We start from the raw sequence: 13728 nt of genomic DNA, 5'->3' as shown, positions 1-13728 counted from the left end.
GGGGATGCTTAACAGGTACAAAAAAATAAGAAAGAATGAATAAGACCCTACTATTTGATGGCACAACAGGGTGACTATGGCCAATAATAATTTAATTATACATTTTAAAATAACTAAAAGAGTGTAATTGGATCATCTGAAACACAAAGGACAAATGCTTGAGGGATGGATACCCTATAGTTGATGGTGTGATTATTTCACATTGCATTCCTGTATCAAAACATCTCAGGTACCTCATAAATACGTATACCTACTGTGTACCCACAAAAATTAAAAGTTAAAAAATAAAAACATTCACTTTCTAGGAACCCTGTGATGGATGTGTAATTATGGCACATGGTAACTTTATGGTTGTTGAGAATGATCCCAAGTACTTTACTGAGTCTAAAACTACAGATTAGCTAGTTCTACTTCCCCAAGTTTGGGTTTATGCTAAGGAGTTCCTGAACTCTGCTCTTTTCTGTTGCTTCGTATAACTCTATAAAACTGTTCACGGAGTTGATCTGCAGTATTTCATCTTGCCACTGGGATCCATTACCTAATACATATTGAGCCCCATCTTAGAAATTCCAGACTCGTGGAAAGGAGCAAGAAATGTCTGAGCTCACCTAATGGACCCTGTTCCTTTAATAGCTGAAACTTAGTTTGCAAGAGTTCAGTGACTTCCAAAAGTCATCTTGTTAACCAGTGGGTGTTTGTTGTGCAAGAAAACACTGCCTTTTATTTAAAAAATAAAAAATGTAAAATGGTATGAAATACAGAAGAACAATGTTCTGGGAGTCAAGACAGTTGTTTCCACTCTCAACTTTGTGTCCGTCTCATTGGTTAAACAAGTTGCTTCAGCAGTTTTATTAAGAATAAAAGCAAAAATGCTAGATAAGAGGCAGTTTCTAAATGCTTTTGCCATGCTACTGTCTATGTCGTATCTTCTGGATTCAGCACATAAATGTGAAATTCTTTTCAGGCAGATAATTTGGAAATGGGATTGAAAAAGGAAAATTTTCAGGAACTACTTAGGAAGCACAGATGATATTTACAAGGTAAATGGAAGGAAATAAATTGAATTACCAGAGGACTAGACTAGAAGCAAGGAGGTTGAGTTTTTTTCTCTTTTAACACACTGGTGGTGTAATTAGTTGTCTGTTTTAGGACAAATCTCTTTATTCTTAATTTCCTCATATGTAAAAGGAGGGGGCAAATACGGATGGTTTCTAAAATTCCTTCCAGCTCCAAAATTATATTTGATCCTTGGTTTAGTTCACAAGCCAAACTAAACTACTTGTATGAAGAATAGTTGTAGGCTGAATGCCGTGGCCTGTAATCCTAGCACTTCGGGAGGCTGAGGTGGGTGGATCACATGAGGTCACGGAGTTCGAGATCAACCTGGCCAACATGGTGAAACCTTGTCTCTACTAAAAATACAAATATTAGCTGGGCGTGGTGGCCAGCGCCTGTAATCCCAGCTACTTGGGAGGCTAAGGCAGGGGAATCTCTTGAACTTGGGAGGCTGAGGTAGGAGAATCGCTTGAACATGGGAGGCAGAGATTGCAGTGAGCCAATATTGTGCTACTGCACTCCAGCCTGGGCAATAGAGCAAAAACTCTGTCTCAAAAAAAAAAAAAAAAGTTGTAAATCAAATTAGCCATTAAATGAAATTATAAATTAAAACTATTAATGGTGGATCTCAAGTTTCTATTTGAAATGATTTGGTTGAAATCCTTTCAGCCAATGATGGAGGTAAGCTAGCAACCACTTTCTTGGTTTTGTGGAAACCACAATATTCTTCCCTTTTTGCTTCCTTTGTTTTTTCTTTTTAAAAAAATATTTGTATAAAATATCTAGTGATTCTCATTACAATGCATGTGTAGAAAAATTGTATATGACAATTAAGTTCAATAACCCCTTTTCATTCATTCTGAGTCTCATTTCTCCTGCCAGAAAGAACCACTGCTAACAGATTGGTATGTATATTTATGGCTTTCCCTCACTCCTTTCCTGCCATCCTCCCTTTTCTTTCTTTCTTCCATCATTTTAAAAATTATATAGAAGAGATTTTTAATGTATTGTTTTGCAATATGCTTTCCACTTAACATAGCTTAATGCTCTTAATATATCAGTATATATAGTTTTATAGCCAAATATTTCATGGTTCCATAATTTATTCATTCCTCTACTGAAAGAGATTTGTCTGTAATTTTTGTCTGTATCATTTTACTGCATATAAGTGCTTACTTCTCTATATTCTTTTAACTAAACATTTTATATGATTTCATTTCCTCTCTTTTTTAGCATGTAAGTTATTTTTTTTAGTGGTTGCTCTAGAGTTTGGAACATACATTTACAATTAACCTAAGTTCACTTTTTTTTGGTAAAAATTTAAGGGGTTCAAGTGCAGTTTTGCTACATGGATGTATTGTGTAGTGGTGAAGTCTGGGCTTTCAGTGTAACCATCACCTGAATAATGTACATTGTACCCATTACGTAATTTCTCATCCCTCATTCCCTGACTCTCCCACCCTTTTGAGTCTCCACTGTCTACTATTGTAGACTCTATGTCCATGTGTACACATTATTTAGCTCCCATCTATAAGTGAGAACATTTGGTATTTGACTTCCTGTTTGTGAGTTATTTCAGTTAAGATAATGGCCTCCAGCTCCATCCATGTTGCTTCAGAAGACATGATTTCATTCTTTTTTGTGGCTGAATAGTATTCGTGTGTGTGTGTGTGTGTGTGTGTGTGTATCATATTTTCTTTAGTCATCTGTTGATGGACACTTCAGTTGATTCCATGTCTTTGCTATTGTGAATAGTGCTGTGGTACACATACGAGTGCAGTTTTTTGTGTAATGATTTTCCTTGAGTGGACACCTATTAGGTTGGTGCAAAAATAATTGCGGTTCCAGACTGTGAATTTTAAATCATTATAACTAGGCTCAACCATTATTGCTTATGGGTCTAATAATTTGTTTTTATGTATTTTTCCTAAAGTAGCTAGTAACTTACTAAAATAAAGATTTTTTTCTCTTACTGCAATTTGAAAAAACTCCGCCACCATCTTAAGTGTAGGGTTTGTTTAAATCTATTTTTGATAAACAAGACTTTAATGTGATAGACCAAATGGAGGAAAATTGAAAGGCATTTCAGAGATTGAAATGTTTTTGTTTCCACTTGCATTACCTTATGCCAAGATCAGGGCTTTGGTTTGACTTAATATTGGAAGCATAAAAGAGAATAACCAGTCTGCACATTTCTTTGAAAACCACTCTTCATGTAACATACAAAACTCATAAAAATGGGTACTGTAAAAATAGTGCCTTAATAATACTTCATGCTAACCAGCTGATTATAGACTGAATGCTTAGTTAAGTGGGGGAAGAAATAAGTAGTTTCCTTTTTAGTTGTTCTTTTTAAAAGATTACACACATATACACATATAAAACCTCTTTCAGTGATTCAGATGTGACTTTTCCTCTTCATGGTTATTTTTAAACCAACTTGGTTTTGTGAATTATTCTTTTTGATGCAAACCTTGGCTGTATGTGTGGTATGTGAACTGTGGGGCAGCATTATAGATTCCTGCTCAGTACTTAACGACTAATATCATGGTACATTTTTTTTTAGTTGGTTTCTGTTTATTACTAAATATAATGATTGATAAAATGTTATCTGTGAAAATGACTTCTTTTTTTTCTTTGAATTTCTGAACTAAGCTACTAGTCTTATAAACCTACAATCTTTGTGACTATTGTTGGAAAATTCCATGTGGAATATAGTATTACGATTTTAAAAAGTGATTTTTGCTCTATATTTTACTTCATTCTTTTGGGGAGATGTTCTTACACTGTCATTGACATTAGAGGATCACTGTCAATTGTAGAGTGCTGTCGACAATTGAGATGGAGTCCCCTCTTATGCTTTTCTGCCAAATAGAGAAGTTATATTCAATTAATATTTTATGTGAACAGTAGCTGTCATAGGAAGAACAAAAGTACCCTGTAATTACACATTTAGCCTCTGTGATCATCATTTCATGAATTTCTTAATGATTTAGAATATTTAAAAAATATAATGTTCTCTTTTCCAGGGCATTGTGTTTTTATAAGACTTTGCTTCATATTTGATAAGCATATTTCTCTTTTTCAAACACTAAAATCTTTTTTCTTTGTAGCCATCTGGAGCTTGAGGGATTCCTAAGAAAATGTATTCTTTTTTGTCTATTAGAAAAATCAAAGATGTTTCTCCTTCACTGTTATAAATGCTGTGATATTTAGCTGGTTATACTCACATGTCCAAACTGCAAAATAAGGAAAATATAAATTAAGCGTATCTCTTTGGGCAATATTTGCCACTAATTCTTGGGCTCTAGGCTTTATATTTTCAGAATTTTATTTATCTTTTTATTTAACAATTATTCATTGACAGCTATGCATATACAAGATACTTTGCTGGTTACTATGAGAGATTCACAGATAAATAAAACAGCCTTGCTATCAAAAAAACTTGCATTCCAGCGGAAAAGAAAAAAACAAATGCACAGTAAATAAAATATAAGGTGAATAAGCACTGTACTAAAGTTCAGGAAATATAGGAACTTGCATTCTGGGCAATTTTGTGAAATGGAGATCCTGGAATCTTCTGACTACAAATAATCTAAAAATGCTAGACAAAATATTTAAAAAGGCAAAAATCACACTTTCAAATGAATGGATGAAAATTTTTGTGTAAGGTAGTCCTAGATGTATGAAACTCCCAGGAGTTTGGGAGAAATAAGTGAAGATCCTTTCTGAAGGAGTACACTGTCAGCTCAGATCTCAAAGAAATCTCATATATGAATCTAAAATAGAAGGATAAAATAAAGTAAAACACGTAAAAGAGAGTTACCATGAGAGAGAGCATGTAGGTCAACAGAAACTTTAACCAGACTACCAAAGACTTTATTTATTTGTTTGTTTGTTTATTTATTTATTTGAGATGGAGTTTCACTCCTGTTGCCCAGGCTGGAGTACAGTGGCGTGATCTCGGCACACTGCAGTCTCCGCCTCCTGGATTCAAGTGATTCTCCTCCCTCAGCCTCCCAAGTAGCTGGGATTACAAGTGTCTGCCACCTTGCCCAGCTAATTTTTTGTATTTTTAGTAGAGACGGGGTTTCACCGTGTTAGTCAATATAGTTTTTTTTGTTTTGTTTTGTTTTTGAGATGGAGTCTTGCTCTGTCACCCAGGCTGGAGTGCAATGGCATGATCTCAGCACACTGCAGTCTCCGCCTCCAGGGTTCAAGTGATTCTCCTGCCTCAGCCTCCCAAGTAGCTGAGATTACAAGCATCCGCCACCATGCCCAGCTAATTTTTTATATTTTTGGTAGAGATGGGGTTTCACCATGTTGGCCAGGCTGGTCTCAAACTCCTGACCTCAGGTGATCCCCCAACCTCGGCCTCCCAAAGTGCTGGGATTACAGGCATGAGCCACCATGCCTGGCCTACCAAAGACTTTAGATATTAGAATTACTAGATAGAAAATATGAAATGTGTGTTTTAAATATTGATGTTTTTAAATAGGGACAATCATTTTGGAAAAATATTCATTCATTTCAATTTTCATGAAAAGTGGAACATGTGCCTGCCCAAAACCCAGAAACTCTGGTCCTGTATTTCTATGTATGTACCAGATGACATGCACAAGAATATCTATAGCACTTATTTTAAATGATGGAAAGAACTGTAATGTCCACCAACAGAATACCATATGGCAGTAAAAATGGATGCCTTGCAACTGTACCCATCAGCATGAATGAACCTTAAAATCATGATACTTAAGTTAGAAAATGCAGTTTGCAAAGGAATGCAGTCAGTATGCCACCATTAAGATATCTTAGCAAAATCAAACATTAATTATACATACATATATATTAAAACTATAAAGGAGAGAAAGAAGTTATTAAGAAGTAATTCAGGGTAGTAGTTTTCTCTGGAAGGGAGGATTTGGGAAGTCTCAACAATGTTGGTAGGGATTACTTTTCCAAGTTGTTTAGTGAATTAATGGATGTTTGTTCTATTTATGTGTTTGACAAATTATGTGTTACATATATTCTTTTTCAAACAAATCAAGAAAAAAAAATCCTATCAAAAAGTAGACCAAGAACATGAGTAGACATTTCTCCAAAGAAGATATACTGCCAACAAACATGAAAAAAATGCTCAATATCACTAATCATTAGGGAAATGCAAATTAAAACCACAGTGAGTTACCACCCTATGCCTACAAGAATGACCATAATTTAAAAGTCAAAAAACAATAAATGTTGGCATGGATGTAATGTAAAGAGAACACTTTTACACTGCTGGTAGAAATGTGAATTTGTGCAATCATTATGGAAAACAGTATGAAGATTCCTTAAAGATCTAAAAATAGATCTACCATTTGATCCAGCAGTCCCACTACTGAGTAGCTACCCAAAGGAAATGAAGTCATTATAAGAAAAAGACACATGCACATACAAGTTTATAGGAGCACAATTTATAATTGCAAACATATGGAACCAACCTTAGTACCCATTGACTAACGAGTGGATAAAGAAAATATGGTATATACACACCATGGAATACTATTCAACCATAAAAAGGAATGAAATAATGTCTTTTACAGAAACTTGGATGGGGCTGGAGGCCATTATTCTAAGTGAAGTCACTCAAGAATAGAAAACCAAATATCATATGTTCTCACTTATAAGTGGGAGTTAAGCTGTGAGGACACAAAGGCATAAGAGTGATATAATGGACTTTGAGGACTCATAGGAGAAGATTGGGAGGGGAGTGAGGGATAAAAGACTACATATTGGGCACAGTATATACCGCTCAGGTGACAGGTTCACTAAAATATCAGAAATAACCACTTAAAGAATGTATTCATGTAACTCAAAACCATTGAAACCCAAAACCATTCCAAACCCCAAAACTATTGAAATAAAAATATCAAAACCTTAACAGTTAAAATCCTTTTTTATTTTTATTTCTTTTCAAGACTGAGTCTCCCTCTGTCATGCAGGCTGGAGTGCAGTAGCACGATCATAGCTCCCTGTAACTTACAACCCCCCTGGGCTCTAGCGGTCCTTGCGCCTCAGCCTCCTAAGTAGCTAGGATTACAGGCACTTACCACCACATCCAGCTAAATTTTTAATTTTTCTATGGAGACAGGGTCTCACTATGTTGCCCAGGCTGATCTTGAACTCCTGGGCTCCAGTAATCCTCCTGCTTTTACCTCCCAAAATGCTGGGATTACAGTTGTGAGCCACCATGCCTGGCCCATAGTTAAACTCTTAATGTGGTGAAGTAGGAAAGGGCTGAAGAGTTCAAAAGAAGCAGAGGAAGGTGTCATATCTGGTAGATTAAGGAAAGAGTCATGAATGAAGTGTCTTCAGGAGGGAAAATCTTGGGGTTTGTTTTATGATCAGCAAGTTATCTAATTTAAGAGGTAGACAGAATATAGTCAAGAGAATGGTATAATTACAACTGGAAAAACAAACAAACAAACAAGCAATTTTTCTTAATGTAGTGGACAGCCACATAAGGCTTTTGGCAATAGAGTTTTTTTAAGATATATTATTATTATTATACTTTAAGTTCTAGGGTACATGTGCACAATGTGCAGGTTTGTTACATATGTATACATGTGCCATGTTGGTTTGCTGCACCCATTAACTCGTCATTTACATGAGGTATTTCTCCTAATGCTATCCCTCCCCCATCCCCCCACCCCACAACAGGCCCCGGTGTGTGATGTTCCACTTCCTGTGTCCATGTGTTCTCATTGTTCAGTTCCCACCTATGAGTGAGAACATGCGGTGTTTGGTTTTTTGTCCTTGCAATAGTTTGCTGAGAATGATGGTTTCCAGCTTCATCCATGTCACTACAAAGGACATGAACTCATCCTTTTTTATGGCTGCATAGTATTCCATGGTGTATATGTGCCACATTTTCTTAATCCAGTCTATCATTGATGGATGTTTGGGTTGGTTCCAAATCTTTGCTATTGTGAATAGTTCTGAAATAAACGTATGTGTGCATGTGTCTTTATAGTAGCATGTTTCTATAATCCTTTGGTTTATATACCCAGTAATGGGATGGCTGGGTCAAATGGTCTTTCTAGTTCTAGATCCTTGAGGAATCGCCACACTGTCTTCCACAATGGTTGAACTAATTTACACTCCCACCAACAGTGTAAAAGCGTTCCTATTTCTCCACATCCTCTCCAACAACTGTTGTTTCCTGACTTTTTAATGATCGCTGTTCTAACTGGTGTGAGATGGTATCTCATTGTGGTTTTGATTTGTATTTCTCTGATGAGCAGTGATGATGAGCATTTTTTCATGTGTCTGCTGGCTGCATAAACGTCTTCTTTTGAAAACTGTCTGTTCATATTCTTTGCCCACTTTTTGATGGGGTTGTTTGATTTTTTCTTGTAAATTTGTTTAAGTTCTTTGTAGATTCTGGATATTAGCCCTTTGTTAGATGGATAGATTGCAAAAATTTTCTCCCATTCTGTAGGTTGCCTGTTCACTCTGATGGTAGTTTCTTTTGCTGTGCAGAAGCTCTTTAGTCGAATTAGATCCCATTTGTCAATTTTGGCTTTTGTTGCGATTGCTTTTGGTGTTTTAGTCATGAAGTCTTTGCCCACGCCTATGTCCTGAATGGTATTGCCTAGGTTTTCTTCTAGGGTTTTTATGGTTTCAGGTCTAACATTTAAGTCTTTAATCCATCTCAAATTAATTTTTGTATAAGGTGTAAAGAGGGGATCCAGTTTCAGCTTTCTACATAAGGCTAGCCAGTTTTCCCAGCACCGTTTATTAAATAGGGAATCCTTTCCCCATTTCTTGTTTTTGTCAGGTTTGTCAAAGATGAGATGGTTGTAGATGCATGGTGTTATTTCTGAGTCCCCTGTTCTGTTCCGTTGGTCGGTATATCTGTTTTGGCACCAGTACCATGCTGTTTTGGTTACTGTAGTATAGTTTGAAGTCAGGTAGTGTGATGCCTCCAGCTTTGTTCTTTTTGCTTAGGATTGTCTTGGCAATGCAGGCTCTTTTTTGGTTCCATATGAACTTTAAAATAGTCTTTTCCAAATCTGTGAAGAAAGTCATTGGTAGCTTGATGGAGATGGCATCTGTCATGGCTTCCCTTGGCTAGGAAAGGGAAATCCTCTGACCCCTTGCGCTTCCTGGATGAGGCGATGCCGCACCCTGCTTTGGCTCTCCCTCCGTGGTCTGCACCCACTTTCTGAGTAGTCCCAATGAGATGAACCAGGTTCCTCAGTTGGAAATGCAGAAATCATCCGTCTTTGCATAGATCACGCTGGGAGCTGCATACCAGAGCTGTTCCTGTTTGGCCATCTTGGAACGGAGCTATACTCAGTAAATACAGTTTTATTCTAAGATGTGGGATGGATTGGAGGAAGGAGACCTTGGAGATGAGGTACTAATTTGTAGGCAGTGGCAATTAGAGAAATAGAACTAGATTGGATAGAAAGGAGGGTCATGTACTAAAGACTCTCAAAGAGAATCTCTGGGGCTTTATAGCTGATAAAATGTGACAGATGTGGGGAAAGAGGCATTTGAATAGCTGGAGTTTAGATTCTGAAGGACATGGAATTACATGCCAATAAGAAATTATAGGAATGTCATATTTGAAACATTGGACATGTAGAGAGAATGGCATTGGTTTTGACCATGTTGGTATAGAGGTATTTGTAGACATGATAGTCAGTAGCCGTATGTGGGACTAGACTTTGAGAGGGGAGTTGAGACCTTGGGGTTGTCTTCCATGATTTATGGTACTTCCATATGCAGGATTCAGCTAAAAGGCCAGATCTGCTCACATGTCATTTTCTCAAAGAAGCTTTCCCTGTCCACCCTACCTAAAATTTTACTCCTTTTCCTGCCCTCCTACTCTGGTTTATGTTTCTATTTAACCCTTCTTGATTTATTCTGTATTTACTTGTTATTATTGTTTGTCTCCCTTAAGCAGGGCATAAACTCTAGGAGAGCAGAGATTCTGACTATTATTTTTAACCCCATTGCTAGAAAAAGAGTATCCTTTGAAGGGGATAGAAAAGAGAGAAAGAATGAGGGAAGAGAAAAGGACACTTGTGATTTGGAAGCCAGAGATAGAAGGGATCTTGTTTCATAACTGAAAGGATTGCAATGTATTTACAGTTGTAAATAAATATGCAGAAAAAGCTTTTGGGGTTAGGCATTAAGAGGGTACAAGTCAACTCTGAAGTTTGTGTAGTGGCAGGGTGAGAAAAGAACTCTGTTGAGCGGCTGGGAGAGAGAGAGGATCAGAAATGATGAAGAAGGGGACAAGTTAGATGGTTTAGACTCCAAATCATCTTGTCAATAGGTGACTGATATCCATCAACTTTGCTTCTAAAATGTGTACAAGTTAGTACACAAATGTATACCTTGCATTTTTATCTTCTTTTTTGTTTAACTAGAGTACATCTTACAGAGGGTCACAAAGTTGCAAAATAAATCATTTTTCTTTCCTTGTGACATAAGATACATATGTATAATTCCAGAACATTTTTAAGTGTATAGAAGTTTTATAAAATGTATAGAATGCATTTAAGTGGGTAGGTGGATTGGGAATAAAAGGAAAAAGAAAAGATGGGAAATTTCTATAAGGATATCAGTCACTTAGAAAATGAATGCGGTTTTATAAGAGCCTTCAAGAATATTCATTAGGAAGCTCATGGTAGAATTGAATGCCTTTTGCTTGCCCCTTTCTGGGGTGTTGTTATGGTGAGCTCTGAAATACCTCTCAGAGTGCCCCCCTCTACCCCTTTTTAAATTGAGGCTTAAGAAATAATTCATTTAAAACAAGACGCAGAAAGCTTGTAGCTTGTATCAGAATGTCAGGAGGTTGAAGAATAGGAAGAGTGATTAGAGAGATAATACTCAATGGCATTATTGAAGGTAATAGACATTTGAGACTTTTTTCCCTTGGATACAATGGATGATTAAAAATCACATTTAGAAACCAAAGCAGGCAGATCATTTGAGGTCAGGAGTTCGAGACCAGCCTGGCCAACATGGGAAAACCCCGTCTCTACTAAAAATACAAGAATTAGCCAGGCATGGTGTCAGGTGCCTATAGTTCCTGCTACTCGGGAGGCTGAGGCAGGAGAACAGCTTGAACCCAGGAAGCAGAGGTTGCAGTGAGCCAAGATCATGCCACTGCATTCTAGCCTGGGCAACAGAGCAAGACACTCTCTCAAAAAAAAAAAAAAAAAAAAAAAAAAAAAAAAAAGGACATTTATTGACCTGGACAACTGTCATTTGAAAATAAATAGTTCGTCTGTATGTTATATTGAGTTAACACTAAATTTGATTTTTTCAGTACATGTTGATTCTGAGAAACAACCATCACAATTTCCAAAGAACCCAGAAGTTAACCTTCTTTGACATGGTGGATGCATTTTTATCTTGGGATGATACTGAGTCAGTGTGTGTGGGAAGTTCAATTATTTTTCTCTTCTTCCTTTCTTCTTACAAATAGGAAAAAGAAAAAAATTTTATTACTGCATTAAATTACTAACAGTATTGATCAGCAGCAGACTAATAAGATGGACTTACTGGAATCAGTGGAAATGGGTAGCTGGCAGCAAGAGAATAACTTCTTGGATTTTGGGCTCTCAAAATGGAAGTTGGTTTTCTCCCTGTGGCTGAGGTTTCCTGTTTGCAAGAAAGCCTTCTAGAGCCTGGAAGTTTCATACATTTTGTACATTTGGAGCTTTTTAAGTAGCAGAGATGATTGTATCTACCACAGATGTGTTCTTCACCCAGGCCTTTGGGGAACCAAACCAAAAAGCCATTTAAAATAGCTACTAAATTTTGATAACTGGAAATAATTTGGTAATATTTTTTGGTTGGAAAGCAAATAATAAGCATAGTACTAACAAAGGCAAAACAAAAAACCAAACTCCCAAACTCTGTAAACAATCTTGCGTTACGTTAAAAAGAGCTATTGTTTTGCTACTGATTTATTTGATTTTAAAAAGTGGCCAGTTTGGGGGACCATGGACTTGATTATAAAGGTTAGTGCCATCCCATCATTGGGAGCTGCTGAACTATTCACAATTGGTATTTTATTGAGTTTTAAAAGATGTTTATGAAGTATTAGGATGTAATTAAAATCATACAAGGAATTTGTTTCATCTCATGCAAAAAAAAAAAACACACACACATAAAAAAACCAAAAATTCTTGTCTCCATATTAGCAAATTTTTTTTCTCCTAAGGGTACTTATTAGGTGATCAAAAAGCTTTTTGTCTCTTCCTTTAGTTTGTGAGCATGTGGGGAAAACCACTAATATTAGTTACGGTAAACTCAAAGCACATAATTATAATGTTGCAAGAAGCAAAGGGAAATTAAATCATATGACACTGAAGGTTGAGTTGCACAGTATATTGACTAATTAGTCTGAATAGGGCCTAAGCTGCATTTGGTGGATTAGATGAATAAATAAATCCATAATTATTATAATGCTCATAACATAATTTAGGATGATTTTTATAGTTGTGAAGTTGCTTCCCCTCATTATAATCTCACTTTTTAAAACCTACCAGATATTTGAAAATAACTATGACTTTTGAGCCTGTGAAAACCACACATTCTTGAGAGAAGAATGAAGTGTATTAAACAATGTTATTCTTAACATTTTATGAATGTGTAAAATCCAGTCCATTCATTAGCATCAACAGGGAGCAGCTTATGTGGCATACTTCTCAAATAGTCTATCTGAGGCATAATGACATTGGTGATTTTCTGGTATTTTACCACACTTCTGAGTTGATTTTTAGTTTCAAATTGGGTAAGCTCAGAGTATCTTTGTTTGTTTTAAGTAGCAAGATTTCTAGTCATTTAAACCACTTAAAATCAAGTAGCAGGCTTTATTTGAATTTGTGATTAGGAATTCTGTAATTGTATTTGTTAGGAAAATTTTCAGTGTGTTTGCTGTAAATGTGTGTATGTGGTTTTGTTTTTTGTTTTTTGTTTTTGTTTTTGTTTTTGTTTTTGTTTTTTTGAGATGGAGTTTTACTTTTGTTGCTCAGGCTGGAATGCAATGGTGCAACCTCGCCTCACTGAACCCTCCGCCTCCTGGGTTCAAGCGATTCTCCTGCCTCAGCCTCTGGAGTAGCTGGGATTACAGGTGCCCACCACCATGCCTGGCTAACTTTGTATTTTTAGTAGACATGAAGTTTCACCATGTTGGCCAGACTGGTCTCGAACTCCTGACCTCAGTTGATCTACCCATCTTGGTCTCCCAAAGTACTAGGATTACAGTCATGAGCCACTGCACCTGGCCGTGTGTATGTGTTTTTAGGGCACCTTTTTTTAAAAGGTCAGGTATAATCCTGTTTGTCTTCCTTCCCTTCTTTTTCTTGTAAAATATGTACAATGTTCCAAAGAACTTCTTATATTCTGTAATATTTAGAGACAAATACGCAAAACAAATGACTATGTTATCAATATAGAAGCCAATATTTAAAGAATCCAACCAAAGTACCAATTGACTGACAACTAGTGCTATAGGTAAAAATTAGCTCCTTTGGTCAAATAATTATGAAGCAATGACACTTTAAACAAAATAATTTGGGAGTAATTAGCTTTTTTTTTTTTTTTAGGAAGACATTTTAAAGATGGTTGAAGAAATTTTAATAGATGGTAGTTTGAATTACT

General features: G+C 36.3%; 1 protein-coding gene across 20 annotated transcripts in view; it reads left to right on the top strand.

The window, feature by feature from the left end:
- TASP1 (taspase 1) overlaps positions 1-13728 on the top strand; it is a 534161-nt gene that overhangs the window by 157844 nt on the left and 362589 nt on the right. For 2 of the 20 annotated variants that reach the window (XM_047440270.1, XM_047440272.1), the window contains exon 12: positions 1939-1961. The exons of the other annotated variants lie outside the window; for them this stretch is intronic. In XM_047440270.1, the coding sequence (XP_047296226.1) occupies positions 1939-1961 (23 nt within the window). The remainder of the gene's footprint in view (positions 1-1938; positions 1962-13728) is intronic. 20 annotated transcript variants of the gene reach the window in all.

Source organism: Homo sapiens, chromosome 20 (genome assembly GCF_000001405.40).
Source record: "Homo sapiens chromosome 20, GRCh38.p14 Primary Assembly".
Classification (NCBI taxonomy): domain Eukaryota; kingdom Metazoa; phylum Chordata; class Mammalia; order Primates; family Hominidae; genus Homo; species Homo sapiens.
This window is presented reverse-complemented; position numbering and strand designations above follow the sequence as displayed.